Below are 22,182 nucleotides of genomic sequence, written 5' to 3'. Positions count from 1 at the left end.
GTTTGTCTTTCTGTGCCTGGCTTATTTCACTTAACGTAATGATCTCCAGTTCTACCCCATGTTGTTGCAAATGACTGGATCTCAATCTTTCTTATGACTGAATAGTACTCCATTGTGTATGTGTACCATCTTTATCCATTCATCTGTTGATGGACACTTAGGTTGCTTTCAAATCTTAGCTGTAGTAAACAGTGCTGCAACAAACATAGGCCAGCAGATATCTCTTTGATATACTGATTTCCTTTTTTGTGTCTATATACCCAGCAGTGGGATTGCTGGATCATATGGTAGCTAAATTTCTAGTTTTTTGAGGAACCTCCAGACTATTCTCAATAGTGGCTGTACTAATTTACATTCCCATCAACAATGTACGAGGGTTCCCTTTTCTCCACATCATTGCCAGCATTTGTTTATCACCTGTCTTTTGGATATATGCTATTTTAACCAGGGTGAGGGAATAGCTCATTGTAGTATTGATTTGAATTTCTCTGATGATCAATGATGTTGAGCACCTTTTCACATATATGGATGGTTTTTAAATAATGAAACAGGATGAGATTACCTAATGAACGCATGAATGTAGGTACAGAGGCAGAGTTCAAAGGATTGAACCCTGGCTGCTCTGCCATTCAGATACTTAGAAACCAAGCATGAGAGTCCAATGAGTATAGAGGAAGATATGAAAACAGATATCCAAGAAGCCAATTGAAGAAAATATGTTTTACAGAAGATTTTGTGGTCAACTGCTTCAAATGCTGCTAAGAAGTCTCTAAGATGAGGGTTAAAACTGACCACTGCATTTGACAAAATGAACATTATTGATAGGAATGAAGACATGATGGAAGTAGGTTGATGTGAGAGATTTAATACTGACAACTTTTTGGAGGAGTTTTATTATAAAGGAGAAGGAAGTAATGGAGTGGGTAACTGTCTCCTGTCTTCTGGTGTTGCCAGCTGTCTTTGGCATTCCTTGGCTTGTGGCAGCATAAAACTCCATTCTCTAGCTCCATCTTCACATGGTCCTCTTCCTTGTGTCTATGTTTCCTGTATCTTTCTTCTATTCTTATAAGTGCACCAGTTATTGAATTTAGGGTCCACCCTAATTTAGACTTCATCTTCACTCATTATATCTGCAAAGACCCTATTTCCAAATTAGGTCATATTCTGAGGCTCTGAGTAGACGTGGATTTGGGGGAGATACTCTTCAATTCACTTTAAGAATTGAGGGCATATGCAAAGAAGTGATTACCTCAATGAACCATAGAGTCTAATAAGAAAAGAGATATAGGACATGTAATGGGATGGAGAATGGTCACTGAAAAATGGTAAGGCACATAGATTGGCGTACCCTAAATGGAGTAATGGTACTACAGTAAGTGAGCTGGAAAAGCAGTTGGTGGACAGAGAGTGGGAAGCCAGAAATGTTGGAGGCAGTGCATTAATTGATTATGTAAATTCTAGGGTAAAATCACTGAAGAGGCTGGAAATGGGGTTGTAAAGGAAATGAGCATCAGAACTGAGCTTAGGTTGGGTACGGTGGTTCATGCATAATCCCACACATTGAGAGGCCAAGGAGGGTAGATTGCTTGAGCCCAAGAGTTCAAGACCAGCCTGGACAACATGGCGAAACCCTGTCTCTATAAAAACTACAAAAATTAGCTAGGTGTGCTGGTGTGTGCCTGTAGTCCTGGCTACTAGTGAGGCTGAGGCAGGAGGATTGCCTGAGCCTAAGAGGTCAAGGCTTCAGTGAGCCATGTAGCCTGGGCAACAGAGCGAGACCCTGTCTCAAAAAAAAGAACTGATGATAGCAGGGAACTTTGAAGACAGGACATTAGATGATCACCTATGGGGGTGTTAAAGTCCTAAAGAATGATGTCAGGAGAGGTGGTAGATGGAAAGGTAGGGAGTCACGTGCCAAAACCCTTAGTGAGTGAGAAAGAATAACGAGGCTGTCAGTTAATTACAGCAATAAGTATGAATAGCAGCCAGATTCTTATGGCATGTAAGCATCAAAAGAACTGCAGATTTCAAGAGAGGAGCAAGGTAGGTACCAATGCACCTTCAGGCGCTGTGAGAGCCAGAGGTAAGAAAGCAACAACGTTCTCCTAAGAGGGCCCAGTGGGCTGCGTAATTCTCAGGTACTTTTCAGGTTTCAGTTAGAACAAGGATGTTCCAAGCACGTATTCAAGACAGAGGAGTCTGCTGGCAACAGCCTAGTAGAGGGGTGTGGGAAAGGATCAGAACAATGGGAGACGGAATCAGATTACAGAGTGTACCCTGCCATGCTGGGTAAGAGGCTGGGGAGGAGGTTTGACCAAGGAGACTTCTGCTGGTAGTAGAAGTAAACAGGACAGCAAAGCCCTCTATTGTAGGGACAGACTGTAATTTAGTTAATTTTTATCCTAATTTGAGACACGTGAGAGTCCCTATATTCTCAATATTATTTATAATGGGATAAATAATGGTCACTGAAAAATGGTAGGGTGCACAGATTATTTGTAATACTGAGAATATTTGGTACCCCTGCCCAAGTGTGTTAAAGCAACCATGCCCTCAGATTGTAGGTGGTCCACTGGGCTCATTAATACCACTAGAATGGGAGCCTGAGGTCATGGAGAGATGGGCTTGTGGACTATGTAACTTCTTTATTCACAGCACCTTGCACATAGTAGGAGTTTCAAAATGGTGGCATGAGTTACGGTCATTTGAAAATCTAAAACTAAAGCAGTCCTTGGTTCTCTTCCTCCATGCTTTCCTTTGTCCTTTTTAGAGGTGGAGTGGAGGAGCACGATGTTACGCCAAAAGATTTTTCTACTGTTATAATAGTCTTCCAGCCTGTTTACTTGTTCAGGGCACATTGTCACCATGTGACAGGACGTGTGGGCTCTAAAAGGACAAAGTGTGTGGATCCTAGCCAGCGGGGTCAAGAAAATACTTCATAAACAAGGCTGTAAATAACATCTGGGCTGTCCAAATACAGGAGGACCTGGTAGCTTTCCTTTGGTTGTTGTTTTGTTTGGTCATGGCCATCTCCCTGTAGATCCAAACAAGTCAGAGAGCCACAGTAACAGCCCCAAATTACTTCAGGCTAATTCTTGTTGCCGAGACTATATGGCAGGCTGTCAATGGGAAAACCAGACTCTCTGCAGAGTGAAATGACAGGAAACCAATGAATCATAGCATCGAAGAAGAAAGCCAAAAGATCAGATTAATCAAGATAAAGACTTTGAACTGTGAAGGGGAAATAAAGCTTATAAACATTTTTTATCTCAGGGTACAGAAAATATTTAATGAGAAGAAGAATAATAATTGAATTTTTTCCTCTAAATACCTCAAGCCAAAAATTTTCATGTAGATATTAGTCAACGTATGCATCCAGTACTCAATTTTCTTTCTTCTGCAATTGATTTGCAGATTATTATAAAAACATCCTTTATCAGTAGAAATGACTTGAAATAAAAGATAAATATGATTTTTAATATCTTGAAGGAAAACTACATTGTAAATATGCACTGCAGAAAACTCTGCCTTGGCTACAGGTGCAAAGTTCCCAGTTACCTCAATTATTCACATGATGCTTGCATCTTTGATGGATGGCATAACCTGTTCAGAAATCAGGGTGAGCTCTGCTCAGGCCACCCTTACAAATGAAGGTAAGTTTGAAGGGAAAAACAGTGGGAAGGACCTTCTATGGTGGCTTCTCCCTTTCTCTGTTTCAAAGGGGAGGCCCAGGAAAAGATCTTTTGCCAACATCATCCTGAACCTCTACTCAGCCATTGTTAGAATGACAGAATTGAAAAAGAAAAAAAGATGTCGTGATGGCTAGACTGGGAAGGGCTCCAGCTCCCCGCCACTGGCTGCAGATGCCATCTAGCTGTGTCTGTGGAAAGATCACCTAGGTGCCCCAGTGAAAGATCACCCAGGCATCAATGTCTGGGAGCCCTGTTCTGAGAAAAGGTGCCACAAGGGCGGCTTTCTTCACCAGTGCTCTGGAAGCACTATTTTGTCTCTGATTCAATTCCTTTCAATGGATACTAATTGAATAACTACTATGCACATTGTGAGGTGACAAGGGAATAGCACTGGACTTGGAATCAGGAAATCTGAGTGGATAGCCAGGTTCTATCACTGACCACCTATGACTGTAGGTCAACAACTTGGTCTTTTTCTCAATGTGTCTCTCCATCTGTGAGATGGGTTTAATGTGAGCACTAAATGCCATAAAGCTTGTGCTGCTACATGGCCAACTGTTACTTTTCTTCCTATCTTCTGGATTTGCTGTTGCAGGAAACATAAAATCAGTTTAAGTCAGTGTTGTGGCTCTCTGTGGAGAGATACTAGCCTAACTCCTGGGAGAATTTTGCACATGTACCTGGAGATGACATGAGGGACCCACCCTAGGGCTGTGAATCCCGATCTCTGTGGTCCAAGCAAGAATATTTTTGCTCCCCAAACTTCCCAGGTGATTCTGCAACATTCTACTGCAAAGCTGGCCTCAGTCTTCCTGAACCCCACAAATGCTGGCATTGTCACAGAGATTCCTGAAACGTAAGACCTTATAGGCATTCCAAAAGTTATGTTACACCCAATACTTTAGAGTTGGGGGACTGGATATAGGGAAAGAAAGAAAGGGAAGCTTTCCCCTTAACCTTCTCTTCCACTATATAATATATGAGCTCTGACCACAAAGCTCACATAGCAATTTTTGTTTTCCTCTTTCATGCTACAAACCCCTTTCTACTTTGCATTGGAAATTATATATAATTTATTCTCTCCATGGATTACCTTGTATTCCTCAAAGTGCTTGGCACATGACAATGAGAAATCATTGTTGAGGTGAATTGATAGGTGAATGAATTCAACAGTGAATTCAGTCTTCTCAACTTCTATACCTGCTGAGACCCAAAAGGAAGGGGGTGATTGGACTAGGAAGAGAAAGGCAGTGTCGGTATCTCTGAAGCTGCCTTGACCAGAAACAAAGCATTTTTGACTCATGAGGGACCATTTCCCCAGGGATGAGAACAAGTGCACCTTTTCCTGTCTCTCCAAGCAAGAAACGAATGCTGAGATCTTGAAATGCCTTGCTGTGCTCTGCCAAACTCACAAACACACCATATGAGATGCTGATGAAATACTTTTAAAGAAAAGAAAAACTGGCCGGGTGTGGTGGCTCATGCCTGCAATCCCAGTACTTTGGGAGGCCAAGACAAGTGGATCACCTGAGGTCAGGAGTTCAAGACTAGCCTGACCAACATGGCAAAACCCTGTCTCTACTAAAATACAAAATTAGGTGGGCGTGGGGGCAGGCACCTGTAATCCCAGCTACTTGGGAGGCTGAGGCAGGAGAATCACTTGAACCCGGGAGGCCAGAGGTTGCAGTCAGCCAAGATCACCACTGTACTCCAGCTGGGGCAACAGAGTGAGACTCTGTCTCAAAAAAAAAAAGAAAGAAAGAAAGTAAGAAAAACCATAATTGAAGTGGGTTGTCCTCCAGTGACACTTAGTGCCCCCTAAAAATCTAAGCGACTGTGGTCTCAGGCTTTCAGCAGGCAGGTTGCTCTTGTCTCATGCATGCAATTCTGTGTGGTGGAGAGCTAGAATAGGCTGATAAGCAGAGTTTATAGTGAGGAGGTTTCTAAAACCAAGAAAACTGTATAAACATAGAAAACTAAAAGAGGAAGAATCAACAGAACCAAGAGCTTATTTGTAATGTCTCATGTACCATGTGGGAGGCTTCCAGGTTTGAGTCGCTTATTTGAAACCTATCTTGCTGAGGGCATATATTAAGGTGTATTCTCCAAATCCATTGTGGGGGCATCATTTCCAACAGCCAGGCAATTTCAAGGCCAGGTTGGCCAAGATATCTTGGTATTTCACAGTGGAACATGTTCTTTGAAATGCAAGAATGAAAAGCAGGGTCTCAGGTGGTGAGTATGGAGGGTCAATCAAGTGAGTATGGAGGGTCAATCAATTACTGTTAAAGTCCTTGATGGGGTCTACACAGATCTGCTGTTATTGAGGGAATAACTTCAGTTGGAACAGGTAGCAGTCACTTAACCTGTCAATTGAGCTGTTTAGATGAGTGGCTCACAAGATTCACTGCCAACCTGAATTAAATGTAAGTGTACACCCAGACTGTTTTCAGCATCACTTGCACAAATATATATATTTCCACCTCCACCTCTGAAGAAGCCAATTCAGTAGGACTATGATAAAAGAATAAATACTTTTAAAGGTCCTGATATGATTCTGGGGCCCAGCTAGATTTGGGGAACAGTACTCTCCATAATTAATAGAGTGTAGGTGTAGCCCAGGTATGGAACAACTCCAAGGCATCTTTGGAGTAGTTACCAAATAGGAAGGGCATTTCCATTCTTCAGTGCATTTTTAATATTGAGAAACACTTTAGGTAGTGAGTTAAATTGTATGGAAATATTCATGTGCTCTACACACACACACACACAGACACACACATATACTAGTGATAGGAAAAAATCTAGATTTGATTCATCCTGTTGCTAGCCAAATTCTTTCCATCCACTGAACTTCCTCAGAGTTCTTTGAAGTCAACAATTACTTTGTTCTCAGAGGAATCATTCTGTGGCAAGGAAAATGTTGAAAGCTTAGCAGTGGTATTAGGACTTTCCCAATCTGAATCATTTCAAAATATTTATCTGCATTTTGTTTATTCTTTTTCAGTATTTAGACTTCACTCTTTCTATTAACCAAATCTACTGATATTAGTCACTTGGAAGGCATAGTAAAGACAGCAAATTTGTCAGTGTTGATAACAAAAGGCAGCTACCAATAACTGATTTCCTTATTAATCTACGCTGTCCTCTTTCAGAAGCACAGGTTTGGTGACTGAATAGAACCTTGAGCATAGAGCCTGAAACAGAATCATTTCATAGTAAATATGAACTATAATTTGCATTATTCTTCTTTCATTACCTCATTAGCCAGCCCCACTCCTCCTGACAGATTAGCAGCAATGTACTGAGGGAATATTTTACACACATCCTATTCCTATCTTTTAGCATTACTGTTCTCTGACGTCCTGTTCTGCCTGTCATATGTTTGTCCCTGGCACTTACAGAGTGAGAAATCTGGGTAACATCTCTTTATAGTTGAAACAAGTGGCTTTTTTAACACTTTTCTCTTAGATTCCCCGTTGACAGGAAACCATAGACACTAACGTCAATTTCCTATACTGCTGGAGTATCTCAGGACACAGGGATTGCACTTTTCATGATCCCTCTTCTTTCTGCATAAACCCATCCTCGCAGAGATGCTCACTGTAGTGTCTGAACACACACTGACCCCTAACTGTGGGCGCGGCTGCTCCCACCCATTTCGACTCCACAGCTCCACTCTGTGGCCCTCTCTCAGCCGGGCCCTCCAACTCCAAAGGATACTGAATCATTGCATTACACCCAGTCCAGATCCCAGTTGGTAGCCTCTGTGTTTTTCACTATGTAATGGATGAAGTGTTGATATTTATAGAGGCTTAGTTATTGATAACCCAAATGATAAGATCACTTCAGTGTCTCCCAAATCATTTCTGTTCCTTCAGTGAATGCTTCCACTGGATTCTCTCATCACAGCACATCATCAATCAGCCTCTGCAATCACAGGGAAATTCACAAAGCCAGAGAGTGTGTGTGTCTGAGCCTTTGCAAGAGATACGCAAATTACCCCAAAAAGGGACATTTTAAATCTGTTTTTCTTTTAATGGCCTTCCACCTCCCCACCCCACACACACACACATGCACACACACACACACACACACACAGCTTCTGTTTTTCCAAGAGCTTTTGAAATTTTGCTTGGCTTATACCCCTGAGGCCAGTAGACAGGAAATGAGAATTGGATAGGAAAGGAGTTGAAAACATCTTTTGCAAATTTTTTGTTCTGTGGGGTATGATAATTTTCCGTCTAAAATGTTTTAAAAATAGATTTACCAGGAAATATTGTTTTATATAGGACTGCCATTCTTTAACATTTATATATGGTTATTATTATCGCTACCAGTTAAAATCACCATATTAATAACCTCTTGAATAATGACTTTCATTTGACCACCTGAAAAGTTTAGAAAATACTGAGATAAATTTCCCTGCAGTCTAATTTTAGGGATGATGTTCTAAGAACAGTCTTATCCTATTGAAGGAACATGTCCCATAGAATTACAGTAATTGAAGGGGCAGATTTTTTTAAAACCCTTAAATCATTCGCTCTTTTAACTTCACTTACTATAAAGGAATACTGTCAAATGATTTTTATCTAAACACAGCAAATGACCCTTCTGATTTTATTTAAGATTTTTAGATTTTCTAATTCCCTTCATCTTTGTTATCAATTATGCATTTTCTTCCCAATCTATATGGAAAAAACAAGATAAAGACAATGTACGGAGTTTTTCCATAAAGATTTGTTCTTTAGTTTGAGTTTATTTTCTACTTACTATTTTTATGTTCAAATGTCTTTCTTTTTTGAAGTTATGAATATGATAAAAAATGATTATTGTTCTCATTTGACAAAATTAAAAGTTGATGCTTCCACATTGGTCCCCAAATTTAATTTTGACATTTCATTTCTGAATGAAATAGAAAACTCCTGAAATAAGCATCTGCCTTTAGAATTCCGCGAAGACAGAACACCACTAAATGCCACCATAGTGACTGCAATAAGCCAGAGCACGTAGGGATGCCTGCTGCAGACTTTGCCGCTATAACTTAAGAAATAGATTAGGAGACTGTTGCTGGTGTCCCAGAGGTCATAATTCTTCTTCAGATATTTCAAAAGGATAAGGTAATTAAGTTAATAATCCCTGTTGTTATAAATACTAGATGTGGCATTGTTCATTTATTGCCTTCTAACATCCATGATATCGATTTACACAAGAATAACTTGGGGGAAGCTCTGGTATTGAAGACTCTAGAAAAGAACTAGGATCAAAGACTCCTAGATTAAAGGGTTGATTTAGGATAAATGTTTAAAGGCATAATGTGAACAACACACTTATTTCAAATGAGAAATCCCTGGCTTACCTAAGGTTCTCTCTGGTGACAGGGATTTCACTTCCTGTAAAAACAAAACAAAAATGGATGCATAACTGAGTGAAGTAAATTGTTACTTGTGCAACTAACATAAAAGTGCTTGTATTTAGATACCTTTAATTTACATTTAAAATGCAGTTTAATAGTTAATGTAAGTAGGGCCACACAGGAAGAAAAAGTTGACCTCTCAATATATACATGTTTAAATAACATGTATAGTTAATGTGCATATGTTTTGCAACCCTAACAAGTGCACTTATCTATCTGTTGTATTTTGAGATCATAATATTTAGTGTCTATATCTGGCCTCTTTTGAGAAACTCCCAAAGTACAATTTAAATAGCTAGATGGCCCCACTTCATAAACCACAGACATCCAAATGAGCATAGTCTCATAGGCTCAAAGAAGACAAATTGGTATGTGGTCAAAGAAGAATTTTAGTAAAACATGAAAATACAACCTATGCCAACTGTGCAGTATTTTTGCAAACTACTGGTTGTCAGTGTCATGTTATATGTAACAACTGCTATGACAAATGGCTGCTGAGAAACTTCTGGAAAAAACAAAAACTTTTGCAGAATAGTAGAATTTCAAATCTATCAGCCAGGTTGACGTAGCAGGATCATTTCATAGACCATTTCTTTAAGTCTCAATTTTCCCACTTATGTCCTATTCCCTGGGCAATTTGCCAAACCTACTACCACTTTCCAAAGGCCCTGGGTGGGTGTTTGTGTTTAGCATCTGGCACTGAGAAGAATCTGTCTTCATACCTCTGTGATTGTCCATCATGCCCTGCAATTAAGTATGCTCTGTTCTCTTCCATATTCAACTTTTATTTTAGATTAATTAACATATAGAGTTCTTCCATAAGAAGGGCCACAGACTATAGTCCACAGGCCGAGTACACCCTACCACTTGTTTTTGTAAATAAAGTTTATTGGTCCACATGGATGCCCACTTGTTTATGTGCTGTCTATGGATGCCACAGTAGTTGAATAGTTGCTATAGAGATTGTATGGATACAAAGCTTAAAATATTTACTATCTGGCCCTTTACAGAAAATGTTTGCTGACCTTTGGTCCACAAAGAAGAAAACAAATGTTATAGGAGGCAATTATCCATCACATGGGTTTGGGTGCTAATTCCTTATGATCGAACATTGCAAAAGAATATTTGATTTAAAGTCATTGCCTTTCAACTCACTGAGAAAAATATGCAAAGACAGATGCCTATCCATGTTTATTTATTATTTTGTTTTTTTTAGTAGCTGGAGTGCAGTGGTGCAGCGGTGTGATCTTGGCTCACTGAAACCTCCACCTCCGGAGCTCATGTGATTCTCCTTCCTCAGCCTCCCAAGTAGCTGGGATTACAGGCGCCTCCCACCACACCTGGCTGATTTTTGTATTTTTAGTAGAGACAGGGTTTCACCATGTTGGCCAGGCCAATCTTGAACACCTGACCTCAAGTGATCTACCCACCTTGGCCTCCCAAAGTGCCGGGATTACAGGCGTGAGCCACTGTACGCAGCCCCACCTTACTTTTTAATACTTGATCTTTGTGTAGATTCACAGTATGTGCTGAAGGAAGAGGAAATATTTTGAGCAAGCATGATCAGTGCTGAAGCAGACATGTCTTTGGCAAAATGTGAAGAACCCACCTTTGGTGTCTTTTCACCATCCCTTTTCTTCTGCCATCCTCTCTACCCCTCCTTTGTCCTTGGCATACTCTGGGTCCTATCCAAGTTCCTCTTGTATCTGGCTTAGCTCTCAACTAATTCCCACAGGACTCTTATCTGATAGTGACTTTGGTGTTACTCTTCCCATGGTATTTGTATTTTAAAGATGAATTTCTGAAGCTGATGAACTATAGCCAAAAAACAGAGCTTGTCAATCGGGGCTGACTGTATTGGTTACTGTCATGCCAAGGTATTGATTGCCACTGGGCAGCCCATGGGCCAGTTTCTTCCCATTGGCCGCCTTGCCTCCAGAGGCAAGGAGCTTCTGTCAGGATGACACTCCAACATTACTTGCTATCATGTCATGAAATAAAAAAGATTGGGAAGCATTCACCTCCAGGAATAAATCATTGTGTGTTTCATTTACCCCAAAGGTAACCGATCTTGGGAAATCAGAGTTAATGATGACCACTTCATATTTCCCGGAAAGTTTGAAGACTCTGTTTATAAGTAAATCAATAGTCTATAGATAAAATTAGATGAAGGAGTGTAAGTTTAGGTCACTTAATTCTCAATCAAGAATAAAGTCAGGTTTTACTGATTAACTGATCAGGACTGTATACTGAGTATAAGAATGTAAGCTACACCTCTGTTCTTTTCTCCTGTATCCTCACCACCTTACCCAATGCCTGGTCCATACAGGGAGATTAATATTCTATGATCACACTACCTCTAATGTGATCCATGGACCTGCAGTATTGTCATTACCTGAGAACATGTTAGAAATGCAGAATCTCAGGTGCACCCTAGCCTCCTGAGTCACAAGTTGCTCTTTAGCAAAATCCTTTGAGGGATTCATATGCACTAAAGTTTAAGAAGCACTGGGTAGGAGACCAAGTGAGACTAGACCCTCCAATGAAACTTGGCTGTGCCATCCGAAATTTAGAAGATGTGAAATTAAAAATAAATGTTTTAGGAAAGATGAAAAAAACAACAAAGTGAACATAAAAGGGAAAAGTGTTGATGTTGTTGTATTGTTTGGTAAACATCTATGAGGGCAGAGTGCCATTTTGTAAACTCAGTCATCACCGGGACAGGCTTTATGTACCACATAGCAGATGGTCAGGCCTACAAAGAGTTAAGCAGAAACCCTGACTTGGTCTCTAACTTGTATCATGTCCTTTAAAATACTTGGAGGGGTGAAACCTTGATGTGTCAAGCTTAGTTTAGGCTCTATTTTTCCTGGCAGGGAATTTCATTAGCTTAATGCTCATGTGGGGGGTTCTGCGCTTACAGCCGGAAGGCTCAGCAGGACACAGGGTTGGTTTAATGAACCATGCAAATCTCAAAAGTGGAGCCCACTCCTGGAATAGAAAAACGCACCTGATTCTTAGACTGCCTTATCATATGGCCAAAAGGAAGGATGATCTTCTCTATGGTTTTGTGAATTTTTAGGTGCTTTCTGTCAGGCCACTCTGACTCCCAAAGGAAATAATTTTTAAAACCATTGCCAAGCCAAAATGGAAGGTGGAATTGCCTAATATTTTAGAGAAAAGAATCACACAACTCTATAGAATATGAGGTATAACTTACAGGCTTGGCTTTGATCCTTTGCCATCTTTAGAAATAAATGTTTCTGGAGCCAGAGGCCAGAAATAAACACCATGTTTTATCCACAGGGAGAACCATATTCTGCCCTGTCCCTTATACACAGTAAAATGCTTTGAACTTTTCTGGACATCATTAGGGATGTGTAAAGCCAACATTCTGACTCTGTAAGAGCATCACGGGACATCCTTCTTTTAGATTTACTCCCATGGAAACAAATGCAGAATCCAACTAAAGGGAAAAAGTCAAGGTGGCCTGAGGTCACAGGCATCCTTGTGGAGAGCTGGCAGGCCCTGCAGCCCTGTATTTGGACTTGGCTAGAGCTAGTCCCTGCACATGAATGAGTCAAGGCATTAAGAGCTGAGCAGAGACAGAGCAAGTGGGATGCTAAGGAGGAGAGAAGAAGAAAAGTGGAGAGAAAAAGCAGCTAGAACCCACAGTCTACAAGTACAAGGCAGCACAAAGTTTCCAAAATCTCTCTAGATATCTTGGCAGGGTACTGAAGGCACTCCGTAGCCTGTCCTTAACCCTCCTGGCCAGCCTCAACCTATGCCATGTTCTTTGGCAGTGCAAGTCATTGCCCTGCAATTTCCTTTTCAGTCCTTTCTCTCTCACCCTGCACAGTAAACTGAAGGTCCTTTTTTAAGACTCAGGTCCTGCAGTATTTCCTTACCAATGTATTCCCACCCCTGCCACGGCCAGGAAGGCCAGCTATATCCCATATGTCCCTTGTTCTTTGGATTCCCATTATAGTACTTGTCATATAATTCCTTTTTAGAACTTGCTACCTTGTCCTTTGATTTCTTATTTATCACAGACACACCAACATTGTTCCCCAAAGGGCCACCATGTCTTTCTTGTTCATTTGATATGCCCAATTCTTAGCAACAGAGCATGGCATGTAGTAGGCATTCAATATTTGCCAAATTTGAACAAAAATATTATTTCACTTCTGAATACGCTTTAATCTCTCAACTTCTTTAATTTTTCTAAAAATGAGTGTGATGTAGCTATACTGTAGAAATCATTTGGAAAAACATGAGAGGTATTAATGACCCAAAGTCCATTGCAAGTCCTCATCTTCTATGAGCTTTTTTTTTGCTGACAACTCTGTTCCCTAGGGCTGTCTCCTTTATCCACAGGGCAGTCAGTACCAAACCATGTTTGAGGTGTGCTGTCTCTTATTGCTCCTTAATTGTTTCATATCTATAAATCTTATCTCCTCAGACATATTGTAGTTCAAGTCAATTCAAACATTCAAATCAGCAAATGGTTATTGAGTGATGGGTATCTATGAAGATCTGTGCTGCTTGGGTGTTGGCATCAGTTCTTGTTTTAACTTCACTTAATTCCTTTAGTAAATATTTATTGGGCATTTACTTACACATATGATCACTGTGATAAGAGAGATTACCAAGAAAATTGCCAGTATTGAACAAGGTCAAGGGAAAATTGACCCGGCTACTGACCTGGCGACTGACCAGGACCAGTGAATGAGCCTAAATGTAGCTTGAAGCCCCCAAGCACAATATAAACCCACGTGCAACAAGATTGCATGAGATTCAGGTAACCCTTGGCATCAGAGGCCCTTCCAGGGGTTGAAACATTGTGGAAATAGACTTTGAAAAGCAGTCCATGTCAGAAGTCCTGTCATCCATAGGTTGTAAGATCTCTGCCAGGTGGCAGGGGCCTGAAAAACAAAGCCCTGCCCTGGGGCGAAGGAATACTGTGGCCCCAATTCTAGAGAACACCTAAAAACCACTAAGAAAGGTAGCAGGCAGAAACTTGGGACTATTAGTGGAACCCTCATAGACTCTATGAACCTCTGATGAGAATGCTGGCAAGGTAGCTCATACCTAGAAGCCCAGAGCCTATATGTCCCAGGCTGCAGAGGAGGCTGGAGGGTACATACAGGAGCTCAGAAGTTCCAACTTAGCCACTGAGTTCCAGATCTGGAGAGCAGAACTCAATTCTAAGTTCTCCCAGATGGTGACCTCAGGCTGCTGACCTTTCATCCTGCCATCTCCCCCACATTGAGGGGCGAATGAGCCCGCCCTTCCATTGAGTAGAAGACTCAATGTCAGTTTAGTAAGGGAGAGAAGAAGGGGACCTGATGGGACCAGGAGCAGGGAAGACCAGAAGGGCTCAGAACCAGAAATTTACCCACCAGGTACTATTATATAAATAGCTCCTTGTGTTACTGCTCTTATGGCACTATATGGAAATTACTGTCTGACTTGTTTGTTACCCTTACCAGGCACTAAGCTGAGTATGACTGTGAGGGCAGAGCCTGGGTCTTACCTTGTTCATGATTTTATTCTCAACACAAAACACAGTGCCTGCCACAGAGTGGGCACTCAAGCTATGTTATCCGATAAATAAATTAATGTCAGGCATAGGATCAAGCACAGTCAGTCAATTAAAGAAAAGTCAAAGTGCTGAAGATGGAGAGGTACTACAGGCCAGAGAAGCAAGGCATCAAGCCTAGAAGAACAAAGCGAGGCGATACTGAGTAGTGGTCACTGTCTAGGCTCTAGAGTCAGTCCTGGGTTTGAATTCTGGTTCTGCTTCTGTTCATTTCTATTTTGTGAGCTTCCTCAAGTTGTTAAATTGCTCTACATCTCAGTTTCTACTCTGCAAAATAGCAGTTTACAATATTAACCTCATGTGAGGATTAAATAAGATAGTAAATTTAAAAGGTCAGCTCGATGCTAGATCCTGTATTCAACAAGTGGTTGCTATTAAAGTGGGTAGGAAGAAGCAAATCCTGTAATTCCAATAGATAGTAAGAATCATCCAGAGTTAGGGAGATTGAAGCTCAGAGATAAAAAATGGAGTTTCCAAGACTAAGTTAATGATGAGGGACTCAAATGGAGACTAAAAACACAGGCCAAGGATTGAGGTGTCAAGGAGTAAGATCCAGGCAAGGGATCTTGTATGCCAGGCATGAAGGGAAAAGAGGAAAGAGTGTAGCTTGAACCCGTTCCAACAGCATTTGGAGGCCAGGGATCCTTCTGTGCCATACAGCAGGGCTGTTCACAGTGAGTAGGCAGGTCTGAGCTCATCAGAGAAGCTAATAGGTACACTTGGCAAAGAGCAGGGATGAGAAGGGGTGTGAAGTCAGACAGTTCATGACAGCTAGGTGCATGGAAGGTGGTCAATAAATAACTGTTGATAATTTACTTTCATCATTACCACAATTGTTCCAAGGTGGAGGAGTGAATAAGCCTTCACTTGGATTGTGAAACTCTTTTTTCAAATGAGGCAAAGTTGAGCATCTTACTTGCTCAATTTTATTTGCTCAAATATTCTAGAAAAAATGGTGATTCCTAAACCATCCCTATTGTTTCATTTGTAGAATCACTGGTGCATCTTATGGAATGTTTGACCATTTATCATTAATCTGCATTAAGTGGTACAAAAAGCACTACCTGGAAACAATATTCCATGGCTGCAATGAGGGTGAGCTAAATTGAGAGCTATTAGAATGGATCTGGCACTTTTAGCACTCTGGAGGCCTTCTTCTCTCTCCAGCAACCACCTCTTCTTACTGCAGTTATGTGGTGATTTTCCTCACAAAGACAATAGTGAGTCTGAAATTCTCCAGCTCCTTCAAGCCCTTGCTCAAGCATGTGGCCTTTGGGGCTCGGTTTGGGCTGGTTTTTTCCTGAGTAACCAATCTGTTTCTCAGCATAAGAACAACAGGCATCACACAGAATGCAAAGTTTTCTTGTAAAAATGTCAGTTGCAATAAAGGGAATCTGGAGCCAGCCTGGCAGCCTGGGGGCTGTTACAAGATGAAGTCAGAGCCTCAGCTTGTGTCTACAAGACACCAAACATCCACTTAAAAAGTGAAAAACTCAAGCAGTCATCCAGATGTTTTGTCTGCTTGATGCCAAGCATCCTGATTTTTCAACTATCCAGATGTTTGGCATCAGGCAGACCAATATCCAAAATCTGGAAATATCTAGGTGTTCGGTATCTTGTATTGTAGTCTTAGTCCACTGGAAAGTGAGGGCCAGAAGCTTGGACATCATTTTTCCTGACTGCTGGGAGGAACTGTGAGTCTCTCAAGACCTTCATGGGAATCAGACTATCTAGTCTAAAAAGTAAAAAGAACTTGGAATCAAACACATAGGTTAATAGGGCTTTGCCAGAGGGACTGAAACAAGGAAAGGAAAAACACAACAAAGCCCACTGCAGTTCAAATGGCTTTGCAGTATCTTGCTCAGTCAAGAAACCTCTTTATATGTCCATTCCTCAAACCTCTGGGAAGGGGCAGTAGAGAGCTCAACTCTGAAGGGAGCCAAAGCTTGGGTCTAATTTTGTATTGACATCAGGCATTACTTATTAAACTGGGCCCTCTGCTTCCTGAAAGTGAACCTGAACTTCTAGACTGACTTCAGAACTTTTTCCATGTTCTCATGGCCGACCTGGTCATGCTGGAGTTACTTAACCTTCAAGTTGGCCTATTTCTGCATATGTCCCCTAAGTGTGAATGTAAACAAGAATTGAAGTGGCCTCTAAAAAGATGGAGAGAAAGAACTGGGTTTTTCTAGGGCATATTATCTTATTCAGATACTCTTTACCCTGCTCCCTTAGATTCTGGCTCATGATCTATGCCTAACTCTCCTCTCCCTCTTCTCCCAAAAATCCTGAGAAATGACAAGTGCAGTTGAAAGAAACGAGAGAAAGAGAGAGAAGAAAGAAAATGTTCTGCAGATAGCATGTGCAGGGGAGTTTAAAAACAACACCACAACAACATAAAAGAAACAATAAGAGCAACCCAATAAAGGGATGAAACACAGTCATGCAACAGAGAGAATCTGAACATCTGCACTTTTTCTTATTTATAACCATGTCAGGAAAACAGGAAAAACAGTGTGCAAAACCTTAAGCAGAATTTTCTTTCTGTTCCAATTTTGCTAGTGAATTCCACTAGGAAGAAAGTGACCGTTTTGATTGTCTTCTATAGGCTTGTAATATACAATTCATCATTGTCTCATGCATCCTATGATTGTGAGTCGTTAATACTCACTGTTATGTGGGGGAAATTCCTCTCCTACTCACATCTGGACTTTACAGCAAAAGATAGAAGTGGAGCCCGTCTGGCCCTTTATCATTTCTGGATTTGATGCATCCATTTCTCTTCTAGGATGGCTTCTTTGCTATTGTTTTGTTATTGTTGTTGTTTATTATTACTTGGTTGAGTCAAATGTTTTAAGAATTTTATTGTGACAATGGTAATGGCAATGATTGCACTCAATTCAAATTAGCTCATCAATACCATCATTGTTAAATCAATTGAGAGATTAGCAATAGCTAATATACCCATAATTTGATCTCCTTAAAGGAGACAGACATCTGTTTTCCTTGGCAGCAGTCTGTTTCCAGGCCCTTACTTGATACCATGTGCATGCCTAACTCCTGTTCACAATAGCTTTTATCCTTGAGGTTTGGTAGTGTAGTTAATTAATGCCTTTATCTTTTCATGAGAGATGCCAGCTCACATCAACCCCTCCCCAAAAAAAAGAGGGGAAGAAAAAAACACACAACTACAAAGGCTTGGCTTCATATCTGCTGTAAATAAAGAACCTCAAAGCTGGATTCAGTATTAGAGAAAAATAAAGGTTGCTTTCATCCACATAGCTGAAAATTTGCCTGTATCCTCTAATTTTTCTTGCCATCATTGACAATGCAATGAGTATTTGGGTCTGAATATTAAAAATCTGATTGTTGCTTTTGAGAAATACAAATGTCAATCAAAATAGAATAGAAGAGTAGCAACATGTGTGTTTCTTGGACGAGAACAGCCCTTGATGCCAGACAGCATGGTAGGAACCATTTCGTGTTGTGCTGGGGAGGGAGAGGCCAGCTGCCTTGTCTAGAAAGAACTGAAGTGTGCATTTTTATAAATGCTTAAATAAACCATAAGGTTTTTTACTTTGTTTATTTGTTGTGATACTGTACAAACCTGCATATTGAGAAAAGAATCACTCATGTCCTACTCACAGAAAATCAAATTCTTTAGTAGGTCAGTAATTCTGTTGTCCTCAGAGAAGGGTCTAGGTTTCTTATATAAGAGAAATTAATGCATTAAGAGGATAATTATTTAGTCATTCATACCCTCAAAAAGTATTTATTGAGTACAAAAGCAGTATATGATGTTGATGAGAAAAACTCCAGACTGAAAACTGGGTGATTCAGGGTTCTGGTTCAGTGTAGTTGGGAAGATAAGTACAGGAAACATTTAAATGAAGGTAAAAACAATACACAATTAAATACCTAAATGGGCATTTGGTAAGATAAAATCTGCCTAAAGAAAAAATAAAGCTTTACACTTCCAGGATGTAGGATAAGAAACACTTGTCAGGCGGGGTGCAGGGGCTCACGCCTGTAATCCCAGCACTTTGGGAGGCTGAGGCAGGCGGATCACAAGGTCAAGAGATTGAGACCATCCTGGCCAACATAGTGAAACTCCATCTCTACTAAAAATACAAAAATTAGCCAGGCGTGGTGGCAGGCGCCTGTAGTCCCAGCTACTCAGGAGGTTGAGGCAGGAGAATCGCTTGAACCTGGGGGGCGGAGGTTGCAGTGAGCCTAGATCACTCCACTGCACTCCAGCCTGGAGACAGAGCGAGACTCCAACTCAAAAAAAAAAAAAAAATTTGTCAAAACATGTCATTAATTGTTTTCATGATTACTTCTTATCATTATTGATACTTAGTCTCAAAACCTAAATCCAGATATTTTTCCAATGTGAACACAAAAATGAGCATCAAGACTTAGTGTTTAGATAGCCACTGTACTAGTAGTTTCAATTGTTTTTTCTTTCAAATCCAACTAGTCACAGGTATATTTTAATAGTTATATTTTTCTTTTTAATTATTATAAGTATACAAAAAACAGATCAATAATAAGCACTGCTGTATACACCCAGCTTCATTAAATCTTAATCTTTTGCCCTATTTCTTTCAAATCTTTCTTTAAGGAAAAAAAGACATTCATATTTAGTTGAAACTCCGTATATATCCCACTCCTAATTCCACTCTCCTTCCTCCATCCCTTTTAGAGTTAACCACTATTCTGAATTTGGTGTTTTTCATGCCGGTCCTTACATTTTTATATTATCTGTTTATATCCATAGCTATATATTGTATGATTTTAACTTTATTTTTTATCATACTATATTATGATTATGCAATTTGCTTTTTCCCTAAACATTATGCTTTTGAGACTTATCCATATGAAGCTTTGTAGATGTAGCTCATTTATTTTCATGTTTGTATTTGAATACACAATCTATCCTTTCTCCTGCTCAGAGACACTTGGGTTGCTTCAGATTTTTTACCACAAAGCTTCCATGAATATTCTTGAAAAAGCCTCTGTGCATATGTGCTACAGTTTCTCTAGGGGTAGAATTGCAGGATCATACAATATGTGCATCTTTTCCTTTTCTCACTATCGTTGAATTGCACTTCCAAGAGGCTGTACTGATGTATATACCCGTAAGAAGTATATGAGAATTTCTGTTTCTCCACACCTTTGACAACACTTGCTATTGCAGGTGCACATTTGAAAAAAGTATTATCACTGTCTCTACTCTCAAAATGCCTGAAATACTACTAAATATATACTACTCAATAAATTAAAAATGTATAATTGCTTCCTTATTGAAAATATTGTACATTATCACTGATGCCATAAAAGAATCTCAAATGCCTACAAGCCTTCTCACTAGGGAAAAGTTACCCAACAGGCAAAGACTCTTTCTCTTCCTGAGAGCTTTCAAGGTGTTCATCCAAGCCATGATCAAGTTTTAGAGCTAGAAAACATTTTAGAAATCATTCTATCCAGCAGTATCATTTAAACTAAAAAATCGGAAGAGTTACGCCCAAAGTCACTCAACTATGACAATGATCATAATATTATCATTAATTTAGAACCTATTATGTGCCAAGTACCTTTCTAGATGCTTCATAATTTTTTTTTTACAGATTGGCCTCAAACTCCTGGGCTCATGAGATCCTCCTGCTTCGGCCTCTGGAGTAGCTCAGACTAGAGGAGCATGTCATCATGGCCAACTGCTTCACATATATTTTTAATCCTCATGACAATAGCCAAGTAGCTCCACAAATAGTTTATTCTCCAAAACACATTTCCATGGCTACTGAGAACGAGCCACCATGCTATTAATCTGGTGGAACAAAATTGTACCAGAGACAGCTCCTATTTTCAGAGGCATAAAATCTGGAAAGGAAAGTGACACCAAAGCATAAATGAGCATGTGAGGAAAGCTGGGTGATGGCTCAGACCAAGCCAGGCTACTGCCTTAGATCTTTCTCCAGCTATGATCATTTGGGAAAATGTCCTAAAGAAACTTATATGGGAATTAGGCTTTAGAGACCAGGGAGAACTTGGATGGGCACCATCTTACCTTGGACGTGTTATCTGGGCAATGCCCACTTAATGACCATGAGAAAGACAGTGATGGGAATCCAAGACCCTGCCATCAAAATGGGGCACGTCCAGGGGGAACGAGGAAGGACAAATCAAGCCAAAAGGAACTAGGAGCACGTAAGCCAGACAAACAGTGCAGAAGATCTGCAGAGCCAGGCAGCTGGCAACTGGGGAAAATCCAACAAAACTACTTCTCAGGAACACAGCAACAAGGTCTCCCCTGCTCTGGCCCCTGCTGCCCTACTTTCTTTACTACTCTCCCCTCCTTTGCCCTGATCTGCTGGCCTCTCCTTGGTCTCTGGTGATTACAGTAGGATCTTTCACCTGCAGTTTCCTCTGCTTGGGACACTACTCAGCTTTACACATGGCTGGCTGGCTCCTTCTCGTCGTTCCAATCTCAGTTGAGATGTTATTCCTAAGCGCCCCATCTAAACCAGCTTCTGCCAGTCCCTGCCTCCATCTCAGTAGCCCGTTTGACTCTCCTCATAGTCTTTCTCACTCCCCAAAATTACTTTGCTTCTTTATTTAACCACTTACCCCAATGAGAGAGTGAGCATCATGAGAATGGGGAATAGTTCTTGCCATGTGTTATGTGGTCAGGCCCTGGCATACAGGAAGGCTCCAGTAAACATTTATTGTTGGTGAATGAATGAACCATAATATTCCAGTTTTCAATGAGGCAGGTAGGCTGTTAGAATCTGCAAAAGTGTTTTGGGACCTTGGGGTCTCAGTCATAGGGGTGGAGTTTAAGGGAAGGATTATATGAAGGGGATGCTGAGTTCAACGTGTGAGGTAAGGGGTCCCTAAGAGGGACGCAGAAAACAGAAATGAGGCACAGGCTCAGGTACCAGAACTGAGGGTGAAGATGGGCCTCAGAACCAAAGCAAGAGCTGAGGGGGGTGAACAGGCTAAATTGTCACAAAGGGACTTTCTCTACCACAAAGTGTCAGGCTATATACTATTTAAATCCCTCCTGCCCCAGATCCGGGCAAGACCTGACCACAGCAGTGAAGTGAGTAAGGGACATGCGTATCTCCTGATCTGGCCCCGTGGTGGAGGCAAACAACTCCACGGTGGTGGAAAGCAGAAATATTTGTGTAGAGAAGTGTGAAGATGAGCTATTCCCAGCAGAAAGGACAGCAAGGGCAAGGCAGGGAGGTGAGAGAATCACTGTGTTGGGAAACAGAATAAACAGAATGTATTGGGTGCAAGGCTGAGCACCTGCTGATGAAGAGCAAGGGAAAAGGGAAAGTGAGGCCAAATGGTGGAGGAACTTGATTTCCAAACCAAGATTTTGCCATTAAATTGAGGAAATAGAGAATCTTTGAATATTACTTTACTGCTTTGGTTGGCTTTAACCAGGGAAGTTATGTAGTCAT

The 22,182-nt window shown here is 40.7% G+C and overlaps 1 annotated feature.

Moving 5' to 3' along the window:
* Positions 21,855-21,924: an enhancer, noted in NCBI's record as "active region_24872". NCBI's record gives its function as "activates an Ori minimal core promoter by ATAC-STARR-seq in GM12878 lymphoblastoid cells {active_cell/tissue: GM12878}" and the evidence as "EXISTENCE:reporter gene assay evidence [ECO:0000049][PMID:35858748]".

This window comes from Homo sapiens, chromosome 6 (assembly GCF_000001405.40).
Source record: "Homo sapiens chromosome 6, GRCh38.p14 Primary Assembly".
Lineage (NCBI taxonomy): Eukaryota > Metazoa > Chordata > Mammalia > Primates > Hominidae > Homo > Homo sapiens.
Note: the sequence above shows the minus strand (reverse complement) of the source record. Positions and strands in the feature narration are given on the sequence as shown.